General features: G+C 51.8%; 2 pseudogenes, besides 3 other annotated features; one reads left to right on the forward strand and one right to left on the reverse strand.

The window, feature by feature from the left end:
* LOC646934 (golgin A6 family member D pseudogene) lies at positions 21–6,194 on the forward strand (annotated as a pseudogene).
* Positions 6,132–6,633: an enhancer, noted in NCBI's record as "H3K4me1 hESC enhancer chr15:79027403-79027904 (GRCh37/hg19 assembly coordinates)". NCBI's record gives its function as "activates a minimal SCP1, AML or CMV promoter by ChIP-STARR-seq in naive H9 embryonic stem cells {active_cell/tissue: H9 hESC(naive)}" and the evidence as "EXISTENCE:reporter gene assay evidence [ECO:0000049][PMID:30033119]".
* Positions 9,561–11,819, reverse strand: DNM1P37 (dynamin 1 pseudogene 37; annotated as a pseudogene).
* Positions 10,530–11,509: an enhancer, noted in NCBI's record as "H3K4me1 hESC enhancer chr15:79031801-79032780 (GRCh37/hg19 assembly coordinates)". NCBI's record gives its function as "activates a minimal SCP1, AML or CMV promoter by ChIP-STARR-seq in primed H9 embryonic stem cells {active_cell/tissue: H9 hESC(primed)}" and the evidence as "EXISTENCE:reporter gene assay evidence [ECO:0000049][PMID:30033119]".
* Positions 11,510–12,489: an enhancer, noted in NCBI's record as "H3K4me1 hESC enhancer chr15:79032781-79033760 (GRCh37/hg19 assembly coordinates)". NCBI's record gives its function as "activates a minimal SCP1, AML or CMV promoter by ChIP-STARR-seq in naive and primed H9 embryonic stem cells {active_cell/tissue: H9 hESC(naive and primed)}" and the evidence as "EXISTENCE:reporter gene assay evidence [ECO:0000049][PMID:30033119]".

Genomic DNA, 20,894 nt, shown 5'->3' on the forward strand with positions numbered 1-20,894 from the left:
TTACTGCTCTTCTTTCCCACAGCTAAAAGAATATCAGCAGAGGAACAGCCCTGGTGTTCCAGCAGGAGCAAAGACAAAAAAGAAAAAAACTGGCAGTAGCCCTGAGACAACCACTTCTGGTGGCTGCCACTCACCTGGGGATGTGAGTCTTGGCTGGCCTGGCTCCTGGAGACGGGGGGCCCAAGGGGCAGTGGAGGGTAATTGTTGAGATTGCTGGGTACTGGTTAAGAATTCTGGGTTTGAATCCTGCCTCTCCATCTTCTAGAGATCTGATTTATGGCAAGTTGCTTGAGCTCTTTGGGCCTCTCTTTTCACTTCTGTAAAATAGGGGGAATATTGTTTGACTTCCATTTGTGAAGTTTAAATGAGATTCCTTATGGTTGTTTTTATGTTAACCCCTAGTATGTGGCCTGCTGTAAACACCCAGGATACCCAGGAAATGGTCATTGCTGTTTGATTTTCCTGATGCCCAGTCTCAAGGGGAAGCTGGGCCAATGAGTACAGCCACTTGCCATCAGGCTGTCCCTATAGGAGTCACTGAAGGGGGCCCAGGGTGTGGTGAGGAGAGCCCCAGACACCAGGAGTAAGAGAAGATCTAACTTGCCACCAGCTTGCTGGATGACCACAGAAAAATCACTTCTTCCTTTGGACCTCAGTTTCCTCCTCTGTAAGATGATACTGGATAAGATCAGTGTCTTTCAAACTTGTTTTTTAGCTGGAGTCCCCTTAGTTCAAGTGAACCCTTACTCAGGAGTCTGTTTTTTTTAATGGAGGTGGAGGTCTGGAGCTCTACGAGATTCATCACCCATGTCCTGGGCCTGAGGAGAGGGGACCAGTGAGCATATTAAGAGCTGCATTGGTCAGCTGACTCCACTCTGTGACTGCATCGCTCAGGGGACTTTTCCATCTATTTGTTCCTGCCCCTGGCAAGGCAGCAGGTGGCCATTTGGAAGAATGGCACAGGCCATGGTTTTAATCTCCTCTGCTCTTCTTCAGCGTTTTGTTTTTCTGAACCCACATCTTCCTCCTACCCTGACTTTCTTGCTTCTCTCTAAGCCACTTCTGTCTTTCGCCCCCTGCCCTTGTTTTTCCCTTGTCACCTCCTGTAGATTCAGGACATTCTGAAGGTGCGGGTGTCCAACCTTAACCACTCCAATGGGGTAGTGCTCCCCCATTGGACAAGTGGAAGGTGAGGCAGTGCCAAGACCCCTCTCTGGCTGCTGTCTCCAGCTGTGCATGGCCCTGAGGCTTCTCTGGTTTGGGGGATACTTGGCCTCTGCCTTGTTTTATGTTGCTGCCATTAACCTTCAGCCTGTTTCTGTCTGCTTCTTCACCTGCTTGATTGATTGGGTTTTTTCCTTCCCCGCATCTTTTATCATCTTGGAAATGTTGAGACCTTAAAGTTTAAAAGTAATTTGGGAATAACAGACAGTGCAGGCATGTGGGATTTGGGGCTTTTTTTTTTTTTTTTTTTTTTTTTTGAGACAGAGTCTCACTCTGTCACCCAGACTGAAGTGCAGTGGTGTGATCTCGGCTCACTACAACCTCTGCCTCCCAGGTTCAAGTGATTCTCTTGCCTTAGCCTCCTGAGTAGCTGGGATTACAGGCACCTGCCACCATGCCCAGCTAATCTTTGTATTTTTAGAAGAGACGGGGTTTTACCACGTCGGCCAGCCTGGTGTTGAACTCCTGACCTCAAGTGATCCACCCACCTCAGCCTCCTAAAGTGCTGGGATTACAAGCATGAGCCACCATGCCCGGCCCTTGCTGTTTTTATACTTTCTCTATATCCATAACTGTTTCCTATGTAATCTTTTTTTGAATTTCTCATTTTTATAACTCCTGCATCATCTGTTACCCTGAAGGATCTGGAGGTAAGAGGCCCTGGGCCAAGGTGCAGTGACCCTGCAGGCCAGCCCTCCAACCTCCTTTCACAGCAGGGGCTGGGTGCCCCTCTGCCAGCTGAAACAGCCCGACAGCCCACACACACCCCAGCCCTAATGATTGTTCTCTCCACCTCTCCCCACAATCCTCCTCCAACTCCTCCTCTCTGCATGCGCCTCAGAGTCGGTACCAAGAACTGGAAGTAGCCCTGAACTCAAGCTCCGCAATAATCAATCAACTAAATGAAAACATAGAATCATTGGTAAGAGTCCAGTGGGGTCCCGTGATTCCACGCTGCCAATCCTGGCCTTTAGTTCCCCTTGGGGCCCTGAAGAAAGGAGCTGGGGGCCCCTGGTGCCAAGGACAAATGGGGAGCTGGAGCACCCAGGCCTCACCTGGAGGGACCCCAGAGCAAGGAGCACACAGCATGGCTCTTCTGTCACTGCCCTCTTTGCCGACTCTCTTCTCCAGACACCCCACTCCAATCCTTGCCACACATGCCCTGGGGTTGTCACCTCTCAGGGAAGCACTAGCCTGACTGGTTGTCAGGGGCCCCGTATTTCTGCCCTGACTCAGTCCCTAATTTGCTTTGAGTCTGGAAAAGCCACCTGTCCTCCTTGGGCTCATGTTTCTGGAGGAGGTAGAGCATCTCTCTGTTAGCTCTGAAAGTCTGAGATTTAAAGGCCCCTAGAATGGAAACCTGAGGGCCAAGGGCTCCTGTCTGTCCTTTTCCATCCTATATCTGCTGTGAAGAACCATAACTGTCCTGTATGTGCTCAGTAACTGTTTGTGGAATGAAGGCACCTTTCTAAATCACAAGCAGGCAGAAGGGTGGGCCTTTCTGAGTCTCCGTCTCTAGAAGTTTATGTTACTGTCCTTTTGAGAGAATCCAGATTCAGACTTTGAGTTCTGTGGCTGTGGGCAAAAACCAACAAAGACCCAAATCCTCTGTCTTTGGGAGCTTGAGGAGAGTTGACCAGTTCTTGCCATTGGTTCTGAGAACATTGCCTTTAAAATCCATTCCTGACCACTGCTTACCACTTCCTGGTCTGGGGAATGGAGTTGAGGGGGCCACCCTCAGTCACCTGAATTTGACTCTCCCCACAGAAACAGCAGAAGAAACAAGTGGAACATCAGCTGGAAGAAGTAACGTGATTTCTTTGCTCACAACATGACTGCTGGGTTTGGGGGGCACTCAGATGTAGAGGCGCCAATCTCGTCTCACCCACTCCCAGCCTGGGGAAGAAGGCTCACCCCTCAGATTCCACCCCATCCCCACAGGGTCCCTGATAACCTGGTCCCATGGGTGGGCCTGTCCTGGGGCATTGGTGGCATTCTGGGGGCATGTCTCTTGCTATGCCATGTCTGCCTCCCTGTGGTAAGAGCCCTGTCTTCCTCTTCCTATAGGAAAAGAAAGCAAATAAGGAAATACACAAAGCACAAACGGAGCAGTTAGAGGTGAGTGGTGGGTGGGGAGTTTTCTCCTGTCCTCCGGAGAATGTTTCTTTCCTTCTCTTTCAGCACTTGCTTGGCTTTTCTCCCAAACATTCAATTCCAGACAATCAACATCCTCACGTTGGAAAAGGCAGACTTGAAGACCACCCTTTACCATACTAAACGTGCTGCCCGACACTTCGAAGGTGGGAATCTGGGCATCCCGTCATCCTTCAACCTGGCACTTTGACAGGTCTTTAGGGGGAGTCTTTTGGCCCCCATCTCAACCTCTCTCATTACAGAAGAGTCCAAGGATCTGGCTGGCTGCCTGCAATACTCCTTACAGCATATTCAAGAATCGGAGCGGGCTCTCTGTGCTGTGTCTACACAGCAGCAGGAAGAGGACAGGGTGAGTCCGACCAGCTGCCCCATCCCCTGGCAGCCTGGCTTCCCAGATGGAGGAGTGAGCCTAAAGGTTCCTTCTCCAGGATGGAGTGTCCTGCCCAGAAGGCAGCATGGTCATTTCTCGCTGCTTTTGTGTATGGTTGTTAGAGGCAGCCTGGGGCTGAGTCAGCTGCTGTGGCTAATTTGGGGGGCACTGTTGGGAGTAAGCACTGGATGCAGAGCTCAGAGGCCAAGTTTCTGCCCTGCCCTTACCTGGTTGTGGCCTTGGCCAAGTCCTAGGTGGGGTATTTGGTACTTGTACTGTGAACAGAAGAGTACCTTTTGTATGTTACCATTTCTGTAGAGAGAGGAAAGGTGTGTGTGTGTACTATTATAAGATACATAAAATATGTCTGCAAGCATTCCTAAAAAACTCAGGAGAGAGTAACAGGGTGCCTGGGAGACACCTCCCTTCTGTACCTTCTGAGTTTTGGACTATATGAATGTATCATCCTTTCAAAAAGTGAACAAAAGATTAATTTTCCCCTTCCTATCTGTGCTCCCACCCCCAGCAAGAAAAATGGGCTTAGAGAATCAGATAGACTCGGGTGTTCAAATCTCAGCTCTGTCTAAGTGATCTTAGGCAAGCACTTAACTTCAAATACTCCATGTTTTTCATCTACACAATAGAGGTAATCCTAGTAACTGTGTCATATGGTGGTTGTGAGGATTAAATGGGATTGCTAGCATGGAACCTGGTGAAGCACTCCATAACGGTTCAAACAGTGGTAGTAATAACAGTAATAACAATAGCAATATTATCTGATCTCTCTGGGCCTCTGTTAGCCAGCTGTAAATTCGATCTCTTTCCCTCTCCCTTCCAACTTTACTGAGTTCTTTTAATAACCAGGCCACGGGCTTGGAAATGCCTTGACCTTTACTAACCGAGTTGTATATTGAGCCTAGCCCTAGCCCTTTTAAGGGGCACTGCCCGGGCTCCCCAGATCGAAACTTCTCACTCTTCACCCTCCAGTCCTCGAGCTGCAGTGAAGCGGTCCTCCAGCGGCGGTTACAGCAGACCATAAAGGAGCAGGCACTGCTGAACGCACACGTGACACAGGTGAGGCTTTGCAGAGGGAGGGATGTGGAAGGAAGATGACCCCAGGTGGCCAGGAGCAGGTGAGGACCAGTGACAGCCCTTCCTAACTTGTGTGCCCATTTCTTGCAGGTGACAGAGTCACTAAAACAAGTCCAGCTAGAGCAGGACGAATATGCTAAACACATAAAAGGAGAGAGGGCCCGGCAGCAGGAGAGGATGTGGAAAATGTCGGTGGAGGTGAGGTCTGACCCTTCAGCCCCCATCTTAGATAGGTCACTGGATCTTTCTGGGCATCTGTAGAATGGGAATAGTACAGCCAGAGGTGGTCATGGGTCTGGGCTTTGTGGAGATGGGGGCAGAGATGCAGATGGTAGCCTGTCCAGCCACCAGCCCCTCTCTCCAGGGCCCTTTCCCCTGTGCTTTCGGCAGGCTCGCACATTGAAGGAAGAGAAGAAGCGTGACATACATCGGATACAGGAGCTGGAGAGAAGCTTCTCTGAACTGCAAAACCAGATGGGTAAGATGGGGCTGGTGTGACCTGGGAGCAGGACTGGCATCAGAGGTCTGTGGGGGTGGCTTAGAATGCCCCAGGGAGGTGGGTGGATGGAAGGGCTTTGAGGCAGAGGGAAAGAGGTCTGTGCCAGCAGATGGCAAGTTTTGTCATCTCCATAGCCTCAGGGTCCCCATAAGCAAAGAGGGAGGAGTGCTCGTTGTCAGCCACCCACAGTGCTCTCTATGTGAAAGTGGCTTGGAAACTGGCTACCATCGGGTGCGAGGAATCATTAGCAGTGAGGCCATGGCCATGGGAAGCCTGAGAGGAGCTGTGCATCAAGAGGAGGGTTTTTTTTTGTGCGGGGGGTGGGTAGCGGGGGAAATCCAGAGGCTCTTATTGCCTGCTTCATTTCTCAGCTGAGCCCCAGTCCCCGGCACCCCCAGCAGGGACCTCTGAGTTGGAGCAGCTACAAGATGAGGCCAAACAGCTGAGGAAGGAAGTGGAGGGACTGGAGGGAAAGCTCCAATCCCAGGTGGAAAACAACCAGGCCTTGAGTCTCCTGAGCAAGGAACAAAATGAGAGGCTCTGAGAGCAGGAGGAGCGGAGGGTGCAGGAGCAGGAGAGACTGTGTGAGCAAAATGGGAGGATTCAGGAGCAGCAGAAGAGGCTGGGGGAGGAGGGTGAGAGGCTGCAAAAGCAGGAGCAGAGGCTATGGAAGCAGGAGGAAAGGCTGCAAAAGGAGGAGGAGCAGCACGAAAGCAGGAGGAGAGGCTGTGGGACCAGGAGAAGAGGCTGTGGGAGAAGGAGAGGCTACGAAAGCAGGAGGAGAGGCTCACACTCTCCCAGAACCACAAGCTCGACAAGCAGCTGGCCGAGCCACAGTGCAGCTTCGAGGATCTGGTGGGTTGCCCCACCTGGGGAGCCTGCCCTCATCCCTATCCCTCCAGGCCTTTGTTTCCCCACCTGTAAAACGGGGCAGTGCAGCCCTCACATGAAATGGTACTTCTAAAGGCACCTGTGAGCCAGAGCTCATCAGGCCCTCCTCTGATGGCTGTGGGGGAGAGGGGATGATTTTTCTAACCTGCCTCCACCTTTCCAGTGACATGGGAGGCAGACACCAAGTTCAGGGGTCTCCCGCTGCAGTGGATGGCCACTGATTGTTTCTGTCCAGAACAACGAGAACAAGAGCACACTGCAGTTGGAGAAGCAAGTAAAGGAGCTGAAGGAGAAGCCAGGCGAGGTGAAGGAGATGGTAACCTCCACCCCATCCAAGAAGGGCTGGGAGGCGGGCACCAGCCTCTGGGGAAGGGAGGTGCCAGGCCAAAGGCAGCTCCAGCTGGGGGGCAGGTGACCCCAGCACCCTCCAGGGCAGCCCTATGAATGTTTCTTGCTTCCTGCCCTCTGACTTTTAGAGGTGGGTAGCCCTGGGTTCCTCCCAGGTCTGGACATCATCCCCCCAGCTAGAGGCATGGATTCCCCCAATCGGGGGAAGAGACAGTGGTACAAGAGGCTCCTTATGCGGGGCACATTGGCTTGCACCTGTAATCCCAGCACGTTGGGAGGCTGAGGCAGGAGAAGCACTTGAGGTCAAGAGTTTGAGACCAGCCTGGCCAACATGGCAAAACCTCATCTCTACGAAAATTAAAACAACAATAAAAAATTAGCCAGGCATGGTGGCGCATGCCTGTAATCCCAGCTACTCAGGAGGCTGAGGCATGAGAATCGCTTGAGCCCGGGAGGTGGAGGTTGCAGTGAGCTGAGATTGCACCACTGCACTCCAGCCTGGGCCACAGAGTGACACTGTCTCAAAACAAAACAAAACAAAACAAAAAAGCCTCCTTAGATTCAAACTGGATTCCGACCTCGGTTCCACTGGTCACCATTCAACTACTGTTCATCTCTTAGTCTCTGTTTCTGTAACTTCAAAAGGAAGTTAGCATTTTCCTTGCAGAGGTGCTGAGGATTGAATGAGAGAATACCTGGAAAGCATTAGGCATGTAGCACACTTAGCAGATGGTGGTTGGCTCCCTCTGCTTTTCCACCAGTCTGTGGCCTACAGTTTAAATGGTGGGAAGAAGGACATGAGATCTGAGGCTGGGGAAGGAGGTATGGGGTTCTAGGCAAGGGAGGAAGCCTCTTAGGCCTGGAGCAAGGGAGCAGGGTCCTGGGCAGGTGACAGAGCCCCACAGTGCCCTAGCTACCCTATTAATGGGCCCAGAACCTGGAAGCCAGCCACCATGTGCCCTCATGCCCAGGGTCTTCCTGCAGGTGGAGATGAAGAGCCAAGAGTCTCAGAGTCTGCAGCAGCAGTGAGACTAGTACCTGGGTCACCTGCAGCAGTACGTGGCCACCTATCAGCAGCTGACCTCTGAGAAGGAGGCGCTGCACAGGCAGTTACTGCTGCAGACCCAGCTCGTGGACCAGCTGCAGCAGCAGGAAGCTTGGGGCAAAGCGGTGGCTGAGATTATAACATTTTAAAATATGAATACAGTAGTTTAAAACAAAGAAACTGGAGGAAGGAAAAGTAGAGAAAGAGATGCCAATTCAAGTCCAAACCTTTATTTGCCAAGTTTTCTTAGAATGACTTTTACCAATTGATGAATTCCTGTAAACAGAATGTATAATGGAAATACGGAAACTGCCTAAAGTGGGATTATTCACTGCTACTGTGATGCTACTGTAATGTAATAAATTATTAAATTGTTGCAAAGTGCTGTTTTTGCCTTAAAATTTTATGTGTCTTGAAAACTATAGTATTAAGAGTATTGAGACTGTGAAAATGCTGGGGACAGTTGGCATGAGATAATCAGTTTTTATTTTTATGAAATTGTAATGTAACTATGCAAGTGTGTTTATTAAAGGAACAAACTAAAAAGAAGTTACGGGAATTTTAAAAAGTTGTGGGATGAAAAAGTTATGGGATAAAAAATGCTGTGGAAAAGTTGTGGCAAAAGAAGTTGTGAAAAAAAGTAGAAAAATGTTTTATGAAAAGTATTTTAAAAAGTTATGAAAAGGAAGTTACGGGATTTTTTTTTAAGTCATGGGATAAAAATAAAAGCAGGTCTCTGTCGGCACAAGCCTGGAGAAGTGGGACTGGAGACTTCGCCCCCGCCATGGACCAACCACCCCTTCCCAGTCACCCCTTTACCATTAGGGTGGCAAGACAAGATCCCTGCCTAATGGGGGGAGATAAACAGACCCTTTGGCACCTGACCAGGGCTGAGTCCTTAAATTTCTGGATGATGATGATTGTTATTTAAGAGCCAGAGGCTGGCGGAGTTGGTTTGTTTGGAGGAGGCCTGATGGCCTCCCCTACTCTCACCAAAGCAACTTTTCCCTCAGGGGGCTCCCATCTTATTCAGAGAGGCAGCTGAGGCGGGACAGTGGGGCTAACTGTAGAGCAGGTGAGGGCTCGGGCTGCTGGGGTGGCCCCCCTTCCCCAGTGTACACATAGTATCTGTGTAACATTTTGTATATTCCGGGGGGTAGGGCCACCCCTTGTATCATACCTACCAGAGGCTGGAGCTGGCATATGAGGAGGAGGTTCTAATCATTATTTACGGCTGGGAAACTTATTTATTGATAGCATAGGACAGAGGAAGGAGGAGGGGATGGGGTCCTGGCTGCCTTGGTGATGTGACTCCTGTTTATTTTGCTTTCCATTTTGGAATAAATGGATTTAGCCATACTGCTCAGCCTGGTGGGTTCCCATTTCCCTCACTGGGTCCTGGAGTTTGCGCCACTGAATGAAGAGCCCCAGAGTGAGCATGTCCAGCTGGGCTGTTGGGGACCTTCCAGGCCTGTTACCTGTATGCTGCCTGGTGACACCTGGTAGATTGCATGGGGATTGCTATGGCGCCTATGGGGCACAGTCCGGCCCTGACAGCCAACAGGCTCAGAAGCCTGATCTAGCGGTGGCCGGGAAGGCAGATACGAGCACCCAAGGCCACTGACTTCCATTCACCCCAGTCGTCTTCGGTTCCGTCCCCTTGCCTCCCTCTCCTGTCTGCACAGGGTGGCCTGTTCTGTCTGGCCCTCTAGAGTGTCAGCTGCCCCGCAGGCTCCTCCAGGCTGAGTTCATGGTCCTGCCCCCTAGTGGCCAGAGCCAGCTTCACAGGATAAGAGCCAGCTAAGCTCCAGGGGCTTTCCAGGAAGTGTCCCTTGGAAAGGGTGTGGCCTTTTCACCGCTCCCAACAGCACCCTAGAAATGGCTTGGCTTTTTCCCTCCCCTCAGCTCCACAGAGAACACAGCCAGCAGAGGACACATTCCCCATCATCCAGAAATGGGTTTGATTCTCAGCCAAGGGACACCAGGGCTGGTAGAGACTGTCAGGCCACACAGCTGCCTGCACAGCACCCCCATGCTTGGTGGGGGGTGGGAGGGATGGCGGGGGGTGGGACGGTGGGGGGGTGGGACGGATGGCGGGGGCTGGCTGTCCACAGGCTGGGCATGACAGGCAGGCTCACTGGAGGTGGCACACTTTGGAGGGGCAGTGTCAGGGGAGACCTTCCTTTTGTTGGGCCACAAGACTCCACAAGGACAGCACGGTGACTGATTCCCAGTGCTAGAGGCGAGGTGGTCGGCCATATGTAGGTGTGTGTGTGTGTATATATATATATATATATGTATATTTATATATATATTTATATATATGTATATTTATATATATATTTATATTTATATATATATGAGTATTTATAGCTATTTATAGAACAAGGCAGGGGCATACCACAGAGGGGCCACAAGTTTTCAGCAATGGTCACACCTGGATGTGTCAGCTCACCACTACAACAGACTAAGTCACAGATGAAGGGGGCTGGCTTTGGGGCTGGGGAGCCACTGTCAAGTCACAGGACACCCGCCCAGGCAGGCTTGGAAAGGGAGGTCTCTGAGAAGAGGAGGATCTGTTTAGAGGTTGGAGTGGGGCTGGAGCTCTCAGGATGGGATGGACTTGCCTAACCCAATCAGTTGGCAGTTGGAGAAAAGCAGAGAGAAAATAGGAGAGAGAATAGCAAGCAGAGAGCTGGTGATGCAAGCGCAGAGCACGGGCATGTCGCAGCAGCTGTGGGAGGGCCGGGGAGGGGAGCGCGCAGGTGCGGGTGTAGCAAAGGTTCCTGGAAAAGAGGGGCTGGAAGGGAAAGGGGAGGAAGATGGAGGGAGAAGCCAGAGCTTCACAGGTAGTGCCTGGGGGCTGCGGCAGCCCTCCCCAGCTCACACACACTGGCCTCTCCCATGGCACCCAGGCAGTGCACCCACACTTCAGACCAATGCTCAGCCGCTTTGGGCTTCTCTCTTCTCTGGTCACCCTGCCTTCCAACCCACTGGCCCAGGGCCACCTCTTGCTTGGGGAGCCCCACCCAACAGCCACCTGGCCTGATAAGGAACACTGCTTGAACCAAAATGGTGAAGCTATAAGGGATGGATGGCTGGAGTGAGTACCAGAGGCCCCTCTGGTGGTGAGAAAGTCCAGGGTCCTCTGAAGGGACCCTGGGGAAGGCAGGGAGGGCAGGTAGCCGGATGCCACTGGCCATAGACTTATAAGTCTAAGAGGGGAGCCTCAGCTGGTTGCGGGGTGAGGGGGGCTGCAAGTTTCATAGCTGAGGCTGGGTCCTTCCTGCTGGGAAAAGCAGAAGAGGGAGAGTCCATGGCAGGAGAGGCAGGTGGGCTCGCTAGGCGGAGCTCAGCTGGGCCAGCAGGCACTGTGGTCCCCTTGGCTGAATAGCACAGGCGACCCCTAGGAGCAACAGGCCAAGGTGCGTGAGCCTGCTGGTCGGCGATAGTGCTTCAGTGGGGGCCAGGGACCCTGCCTTCAGTCACACGCTAGCAGCTGCGGTGGTACCTGGCAGGGAGGGAAGGGGGCTGTGTGTCCCTGCCTGGCCTGTGAAGTGTGTTGTGGGATGACCGTGTGTATGGGACTCTTAAGGTTTTATCCTAGATCACCAGGGATTGCCAACAGATAGAGGAGGTGGGACCCTGACTATCACCCCTCCTCTGCAGTGGGTTTGACTCTTGACACTCCCAGGCTGGGATCTGGATACCCTGACCTGGCAGCATGACTCAGACTGCACGACAGGTACAGCGTGCCCAGGATGACGTTCCTAGACCTCTAGCTGCCTCAGAGTCCAGCCGCACACACAACCCCGTCCAAGCTCCCAGCCCCTACACCATAAATCATGAGCTCTCTGCCCTCTCTGATGACTACAGAGAGCACCCATGTCTGCCAGCTTGGGCATGGAGACTGTTCCAACAGCCCCCAGGCTCAGCCATGGAGGCCTTGGGCAGTGGCGCTGAGTCCCATGGCTTGCAGGGAAGGGAGGTGAGAGAGCCAGCAGCACGAGGACAGAAAGAGGAAAGAGCAAATCTGCAGCTCCAGAAGGGAGGGGCAGGGAGCCTGGATCTGAGGTCCCAGGTGCGCCCCCGTGTGGAGCCGGTGCAGCGGGGCAGGAACACCGTTCATGGAGCAGGCGGTGAGGCATGTACCTACCATGGCTGATGCTCCTCAGGGACCACTGATAGTGATTCTGAAAGCATCAGATCAACATGACAGGTCACACGCATGGGTGGGGCAGGCCTGGGGTTGGGGGACACACACACACGCACATGCCGGGGTGTGCACACACATGCTATGAGGCCCCACAGCATGCACAGCCGGCATGCACACGCTAACACACATGTCCACAACACGCATACGCCTCCTTCCCCGCCACATCCTGGTACCCAGCACCCTCACTGGCTGGCACGTGCAGCACAGATCTGGGGTGTGCAGCCACTTGGCACACTGAAGCACACATGTGAGCAGAGTCACAACACAGAAGCTCACCCAAACACAGAGGTATTTGCACCAGCTCCCTGCACACTCATGCCTGGCATGCTCAGAGGACCACCGGTGCTGCTCATGGAGACAGGGCTTGCTCGCTAATGTTCAGCTGTCATTTATTTACCTCAGGTCAGAGAGTCTGACCCACCTGAGAGCCTTCCATGGCTCCCTATGGCCTGCAGCATTGAGCCCCAAAAGTCAAACTCTTCGGACTTTGAAGGTCTTCCACCCTATGCCCCACCCTCCCCACAGATGATTCTGAGGATGGCGGGAGAGGTCAGCTGTGACTCTTTTGCTCAACTGTTGGACAAGAGTAGGCTTGAAGTTGATAATCTCTATTCCTCTCCCGGGTAGTGCTTCTCAAACTTCAAAGAGCATAGGAATCACCTGGAAATCTTGTTAAATGCAAATTTGCTTCAGCTGGGCTGGGTGAGATTGCCAGTCCGTATGTCTAACAAACTCCCAGGTGAGCCAATGCTGCTGGCCCACTGACCACCCCCTGGGTAACAAAGCTCTATGGTTTTAATTTGCATTTCCCCAGTGGTTAGTGTTGAGGATCTATTCATGTGCTTTAAGTTAACTCATTTTTAAAACCTAAATAAATGTACTTAAAAAGGAAACTTTTGCTATAGGAGGCCAAGGCAGGTGAATTGCTTGAGCCCAGGCATTCAAGACCAGCCTGAACAACATGGTGAAACTCCGTCTCTACAAAAAATAAAAAAAATCCAGCATGGTGGCATGTTCCTATGGTTTCAGCTACTCAGGAAGTGAGGCAGGAAGATTGCTTGAGCCTGGGAGGTCGAGGCTGCAGTGGCTGTGATTGCACCATTATACTCCAGCCTAGCTGACAGAGCAAAACCCTGCCTTAAATAAATGAATAAAAAGAAACTTGTGGTTAGTGGTTCTCAAAGTGTGGTCCCTGAGCCAGCAGCATCAGCATCCCCATCAGCTGAGAACTTGTTAGAAATGCAGATTCTCAGGCGCCACCCCAGACCTCCTGAATCAGAACCTCTGAGGCGTGGGTTCAGTGACCTGTGGTTTAACACGCCCTCCCGGTGAGAATCGGTCTCATTCACTACAGATAGAAGGAAATGGTTAAAATCAATTCATCCGCATATCGCCTAAAATCCTCCTGTGGGCCCCAGGTTGGCACAGCACACTTTTGGGCAGGAGCCCCACTCACAGAGGCCGTGACAAGAATGCTCCTGCCCCTGGGGTTGTGCAGTGACAGCTCACACAGCTCCACGTGGCGGTTCTGAGTTTGGGAAGCGCTGATGTAGTCCTACTGCAGCCCTTCCTGCCCTTCACCGGACTGAGGAAATCCAGGCTCTGAGGAGGGCGAGACTTGCCCTAGGTCACCCAGCAACATGGTCAGTCTCCTTTCCCAGGGCCCTCACAATGCGTGGCCTGTTTAAAGCCTGCCTCTATTCACTGCTGAGTGAAAAATCCAGCTTCAAAACAGAATATGGGGAAGGATACTATCTTGTGCAACTTAAGTTTATAGCTGCAGATACATGAGAAAAAAAGTCTGAAAATACTGTTGAAGTAGTTACTTGGGGAGAGAAGGGGTTTGCTGGTTTTTGTGTTTTTAACTTTTATATTTCACAATTTTTATCACAATGTTTAGTTACATAATCAAAATTTATTAAATGTTAAAAATTGACATGAAGCCTGATCCAGCCACAGCCTATCATTGGCAGAGCCAGGAAGCCTTCCAGATACAGCAGCCCTGCACCTGCCCCCGGTCACACCCTGGGCCTGGGCACATGCTAGGTCCTCTGTCTGGACACCCTCACCCCCTGGTGGCCTCCATGTCAGTACCCACCAGCACCTCCTGTGGGCGAGGGCCGCCCCTGCATCCAGCCCTGGGTACCCCCTAGCCCAGAGGGCACCTCATGGTGTGAGAGTCCGCCTGCCTGTCTCTAAAGAGAGGAAAGCTCCTTGGGACATGTGTTCTGCTTGACCCATCACCTCTGGCCTGGTACAGAAAGGTGGACAGTGGGTATTTGGTGAATAAATGAATGAATGATTGGAACGAACCCCCTAAATGGTGATTTCCTGAGGCCCTTCTCCAGCTGGCCCAGGTGGAACCAGTTCCACGTTTCACAGGAAAGCCAGGTGTGAGGAGTGGGGCAGGTGTGTGTGAGGGGCCAGGTTCTTGAAGGCTGCATGGAAACGGAGCTGGTGGCAGGTCTGGGGGTGGCAGTGCTGCTGTAGGAGCCTCAGGGAGGGCTCATCCCTGGAATCCCCCAGGGTATCCTAGTGCCCCCAGCTGCTGCATGGCATGAGAATTCCTGGCTGGTGGGGGACACACAAGGACTTGTTTGGATTGGCCACCTGGTCCAGCCCAAGGAGCTGCGCCTCCAGCACCTTGGGGGAAAAAAAGCACTTTTGATGTGTGACAACAGCTGCAGGCAAGGGGAGGGAGAGGTGTGCTGGGCCTCGGCCTTAGAAGCCAGAAGCCAGTTCATGCCCCTACTTGGTCTACGTGGGAAAGGGATGTGGCCTCGGCTAGCTCTAGGGTCCTGGGTTATGGAAAGGGCCCTTCCTTATGGACCCAGTGACTTAGGCTGACCCAGCCCCTCCCTGAGCCTCATCAGTGAAACCAGGGCTGGGCCAGGGCTCTCAACACCTCCCAGCTCCAACCTCTGGCTTTGTCCCAGGAGGGCAGGAGATCAGACAGAGGTGACCCGGGCTCCCTATTTACCTCAACCTCCTTGTGAAGCCTCCCTCTTTCTGCCTGTGAGGTGGGTGGGGCTGGAAAGAGGGGCATTCACCTGTGGGTCTCTGACTTCTCTGCCCAGGTGTGCCTGGGGAGTCTGGTCTATACCCGGTGCTCTGCTATACCCCACAGCCTGGTCACAACCTCCCTGCCTCCAGAGCAGCCCTGGCCCAGGGAAGAAGCGGGTCTCTGCATCCAATGATAGGTAGAAAATGAACGTGGGGATGATAGCACTGGAAAGGAGTCAAGGAGGAGGTGCCTTCCCAAGGATGTGGAGGGTTTTTCCAGAATGGAACTTGACTGGGGTGGGCAAACATCAGGAAGTGGGAAGGGTGGCTCCCTCTGTGGGAGCTGGGGCAACTTGCCTGGGCCAAATGGTGGTAGGCTGTGGGTGTAGGGTGGGCAGAGCTGGGGTGCCCAGAGCCTGGGGTCCCTGTCCTTGCAGAGGACTGGAATGCAAAACAAGTGCCCCCTGCCTTCTGGCTGCGGGACATCCTCTGCTTCCAAGCCCAGACATACACCTGCTGCCACAAGCCCCTGAGGCTCTTCAGAGGACCAATGGGCAGCCACACCCATGCTGGGCCAGCCTGCTGGGCCCACCTGCACCCTGGTCAGAGCCCATGACTGAGGGGACTCTCTGGGGACAATGGGGGCAGTCTCATGCTGCCCTCTTACAGGTGGATCAGTCCCTGGGATCTGGTGCTGGGCTGGGGTGGGCTGAGGCTGTTCTCTGCTGGGGTACCTGGTGGACAGCAGGTGGAGCAACTTCTCCTTGGCTTTCCTGGACCCCAGGACACAGCTGAACACTGCACTCTACCCTGGATGCCTTCAGATGGGACCATGGGAAGGAAGAGGGGCTACCCCTGCAGGGGGCCAGGACCGTGGCCCATGCTTGCTCCCCGCAGCAGGCACCTCCTCTCCAGATTGACATCACCTGATTCCTGAAGGCCTGGGCTACTGACCAGAGTCCCAACATCCTCACCAAGGTCTGTTTTTACATCAGAGCAGCTAGTACATGAGTTCGGAGCTGAAGGGGGCAGAGAGAGAACACAGGGCTCTGTTAAGAGTTCTTGGCTCCCTGCTGTGGTGGGCCCCGTAGAAGGCCCCCCAAAAATTTGCAGCTGCTATAAGTCACTGGGAGGAAGCTGCAGCAGACACGTGTTTCTCAGCCTGGTAGATGCAGAGGGGTGTCCGGACCCCCAACTGGGAGGCCCAAATGTGGCAGTGCAGGAATTCTAGCCAGCTCTGGGACCCTGGGCAAGTCATGTAACCTCTCAGAACCCCATTCCTGGTCACCATGGGGCTCTTGTGTGGATGTAAACAACCCTCAGGCCACTTATGTCCCATCAGTGGAAGCCTAGCATGGGTGGAGACCCCCGAGACTGAACTCAGTGGCGGGATCCAGCCTTCCCAGCTCTTCTACATAGAGCCCAGAGCTAGCAGGGTGGGCTGCCTGGAGAAGCAGGCACTCCTGTGGGCTGGAGAACATGAGCAGTGGTCCCTTTGGGAAGGTGGAAGAGGCTGTGGTCAGTGGAGGCCATAATGGGGCAGAGGTTGGACAGAAGGGGCATGATCGGGGAATCTGAGACCCAACAGAGACTGGACTGAGGACTCTGTGCCACTCAGGCAGTGGAAACTGAGCTATGGCTGGGACCCATGGTCCTGAGTGAGGCCTGGCCAGTCTTGGAAGCTGTGCCAAAGGTGGCTTCATGTAAGGGTGCATCTGAGCACTTTTTTTTTTTTTTTTTGAGATGGGGTCTTGCTCTGTCATCCAGGCTGGAATGCAGTGGCACGATCATAGCTTACTGCTGCCTCAAACTCCTGGGCTCAAGTGATTCTCCCACCTCAGCCTCCCAAAGCGCTCAAATTATAGGCCTGAGCTACAGAGCTGGGTTTTAAATCTTAATATCTCCTCCTGGTCTGCTTCCCTGGCTGACACACATGCTGGCATCCTGCGCCTAGACAAACATGTTTCTGGACTTGGTTCCATTTGTTCTGACGGGCTTCTCTCTCTCAATGACCGCACGTTACATTATTTGGCTATTCTTACACATTTCCGTATAGAACTGAGGGTTAGTGTATTAATGTCAAAGTTCTACTGGTTTTTCGAGGCTGGGTGGAATGTTTGGGTTAATTTAGTTGTGGGCATCTTGACAATATAGGCTTTTCCTCCAGGAATGGTGATTCTGGGACGCAGGTTTTGCACATTCTGGTTTATTGCTTGGCTCGCTGCCACAGAGGGATGGCACTGCTCCACACACCATGCCCTAGAGATGTCCCACCTTATCTGTCTAAATCAAGCTGGATGTTCTCAGCTGACAGGATATCATATCAGTGCTGTGGGGACTCACTCCCCTCAACCCGAGACGAAGTGAGGTGGAGACTATGGAGCAGATCCGTGCCGACTGCATTTGCCCTTCCTGACCCGCACTGCTGCTGGGTGGGGCTGTGTCTGAGCTGATAGAGGGCATTGATTTGGGCATGGGGAGGGGTCAGTACTGGAGAGATGCCCCTCACCTCCCTTAGCTCCTCCTGTCCACTCAACACTTGGTCACCAAGGTCCCCGACTTCCAGGCCTCAGTCACCACTAACGAGGTGCTGCATGGGAACAAAGCGTAGGCCCACAACCTGGAGTTCAGGTCACTCCTCCTTCCAGTTGAAGCCTCTATCCCTCCCAGGTGATTCCAGCCTCATTTCTCCATGGGCCAAATATCCTAAACAAAGGCCTGGACAGGGGGTCTTTATCCGAGTGCCCAAAAAGCACATGCAGAAAGGCTCTGCATGCCCCCTGTGGCCTGCCAGAGGTAAGAGCCTGCCCGTCAAAATGCACAATCCTGGTTCTTGCAGGGAGGTGAGGAGGGGAGGAAGAAAAGGTCCATCTCATTCTTTCATCAGGAACCTAAACTTGGGAAAGCCAGATATAGTACATTTCTTAATGATCCTGATACTTTTATAACTGGTTACAGCTGGGTCACATGCACAACTGTTTTCTAACATCTTTCAACTGGCCACATAACACCATGTAATTTATTTTTTTATTTTTATTTTTTAAGGCCAGGGGGAGTGGCTCATGCCTGTAATTTCAACATTTTGAGAGGCTGAGGCAGGAAGACTGCTTGAGGCCAGGAGTTCGAGACCAGCCTGGGCAACACAGCAAGACCCTGTATGCAATGGAAAACAACCCTATTTCAAAAAAAATATTTTTTGAGTACAGTGGCTTGATTACAGCTCACCGTAGCCTCCAACTCCTGGGCTCGAGTGATACTCCCACCTCAGCAGCTGGGACTCTCAGAGCACACCCCCACATCTGGCTGATTTTTTAATTTTTGGTAGAGATGTGGTCTCACTATGTTGCCCAAGCTGGTCTTGAACTTCTGGCCTCAAGAGATCCTGCCAATGTGACCTCACAATGCACTGGGGTTGCAGGCATGAGCCACCATGCAGCCCCTGCAAAATCTAACTGTCCTTCAGGTGCTCCTTTTGGACCTCCTAGCTAGACTGCCATTGGCAAATGCCAGTTTATTATCCACCCACATGTATGTTAATGGATTTCCCATGTTTTATTTGTCTAGACCAGGCTTTCTCCACAGCAGCACTGTTGATGTTTAGGGCTGGACAGTTCTCTGTTCTGGAGCTGTTTGCGCCTCGCAGGATGTTTAGCAGCATCCCCAGCCTCCGCCTGCCACATGCCAGCAGCACTCCTCAGTGTGACAGCCAAAGTGATTTCAGATACTGTCAAATATCCCCAGGGCGGCAAAATCACCTCCAGTTGAGAACTGCTGACCTAAAACCCTCTGGAACAATGTTAGATCATGGTAATGATAGCGCATACTGCTCCTGACCTTAATGGGAATACCTCTAGCATCAAAGTATACTAGTACCTGTATACTACTGTCTGGGCTGTTATTAGTACACTGTATTAGTCCATTCTCACTCCGCTATGAAGAAATACCCAAGACTGGGTAGTTTATAAAGAAAAGAGGTTTAAATTGACTCACAGTTCTGCATGGCTGGGGAGGCCTCAGGAAACTTACAATTATGGCAGAAGACTCCTCTTGCCAGGGCAGCAGGAGAGAGAAGGAGAGCCGAGCAAAGGGGAAAGCCTATAATAAAACCAACAGATCTCGTGAGAACTCACTCACTATCACGAGAACAGCACGGGAGAAACTGCCCCCATGATTCAATTATCTCCACCTGGGCCCACACCCTTGACACGTGGGGATTATTGCAATTCAAGATGAGATCTGGATGGGGACACAGAGCCAAACCATATCATATCCTTTATATTAGCATACTGTATCAAAGTATAATTTTCTTTTTTCTTTCCTTCAAGAGAGAGCCTCGCTCTGGCTCTGGCTGGAGTGCAGTGGCACGATGTCATCCCACGGTAACCTCTGCCTCCTGGGTTCAAGCAATTCTTGTGCCTCCACCTCTCAAGTAGCTGGAACTACAGGTGTGTGCAACCACACCCAACTAATTTTGATTTTTTTTTTTTTTTTGAGTACACATGGGGTTCGACATGTTGGCCAGGCTGGTGTCAAACGCCTGGCCTCAAGTAATCCCATCACTTCAGCCTCCCGAAGTGCTGGGCTTACAGGCATGGGCCACTGCACCCAGCCTGAAGTATAATTTTCACAATGTGAAAAGCTTGACTTTCATACAGATAATGAAGGAATACGTATAAGATATTTTCTTTAATTTACAAGGGAGTCAGCAACACGGTGAAGCTAGTTCAAGGAGCATTTTGAGAGACAGTGTCTGTAGTGCTCCAGGAAGGGCATTCCGAAATGCATTCTGAGATAGAGACAAAACTTGTTAATATCCTATAGGGAGGCTGGGCATGGTGGCTCACACCTGTAATCCCAGCACTTTGGGAGGCCAAGGTGGGTGGATCACCTGAGGTCAGGAGTTCAAGACCAGCCTGGCCAACATGGTGAAACCCCGTCTCTACTAAAAATACAAAAATTAGCCAGGCGCGGTGCTGGGTGCTTGTAGTCCCAGCTACTTGGGAGGCTGAGGCAGAAGAATCACTTGAACCTGGGAGGTGGAGGCTGCAGTGAGCCGAGATCATCCCACTGCACTCCAGCCTGGGTGACAGAGCAAGATTCTGACTTAAAAAGAAAATCATATCGGGAAATAAAAACGTCACCTTTGGGAGTTATCTTTTCTACTGGACAGAAATCTGTAAGCTAACATATATACATATTCTCCAGTATATTCATAACATATTCTGTAGTATATTTCCCTGCACTAGTGCTTTTCAAAGCATGGTCTCAAATTGGAAGCATCAGCGTCACCTGGGAACATAGACATGCAATGCTTAGGCCCCACCTCAGTCCTACTGAGTTAGAAACTCTGGTGTGAGGCCCAGCAGCCGGTTTCACAAGCCCTGCAGGGCATGATGATGCACTCTAATGTGTGAGGACCACGGCTCTAAATAATCAATCTTTAATAGTAAAACAAGTATCTATGAAACAATGCTCCAGTATGACATTAAAAGGGCACACCATCCACCTTTTAACTTTATTTCTCAATTTAGATATTTTGTCTGATGTTAAATTTGCTGTTTTGTTTCTCAAATACTCTTAAGACAGTTTTCATCTGTTCCTAATTTTCTCTTTTTAAATAAAAAATGGTTTTCCAAATCTGTCCATTTTACTCTTCTTTAACCTATTGATAGGATGAAGTAAAAGTTGAACCATTCTTACCTTTTTTTTTTTTTTGAGACGGAGTCTCACCCTGTTGCTCAAGCTGACTGAAATGCAGCGGTGCAATCTCGGCTGACTGCAGCCTCCATCTCCCAGGTTCAAGCGATTCTCATGCCTCAGCCTCCTGAGTAGCTGGGATTACAGGCACCCGCCACCACGCCCAATTCATTTTTTTTTTTTTTTTGTAGAGACAGGTTTTGCCATGTTGGCCAGGCTGGTCTCCAACTCCTGACCTCAAGTGATCTGCCTGCCTCAGCCTCCCAAAGTGCTAGGATTACAGGCATGATTACCCACATCTGCCAGCTTGGGCACGGAGCCTGTTTCAAGAGCCCCCAGGCTCAGCCATGGAGCC

This window comes from Homo sapiens, chromosome 15 (assembly GCF_000001405.40).
Source record: "Homo sapiens chromosome 15, GRCh38.p14 Primary Assembly".
NCBI lineage: Eukaryota > Metazoa > Chordata > Mammalia > Primates > Hominidae > Homo > Homo sapiens.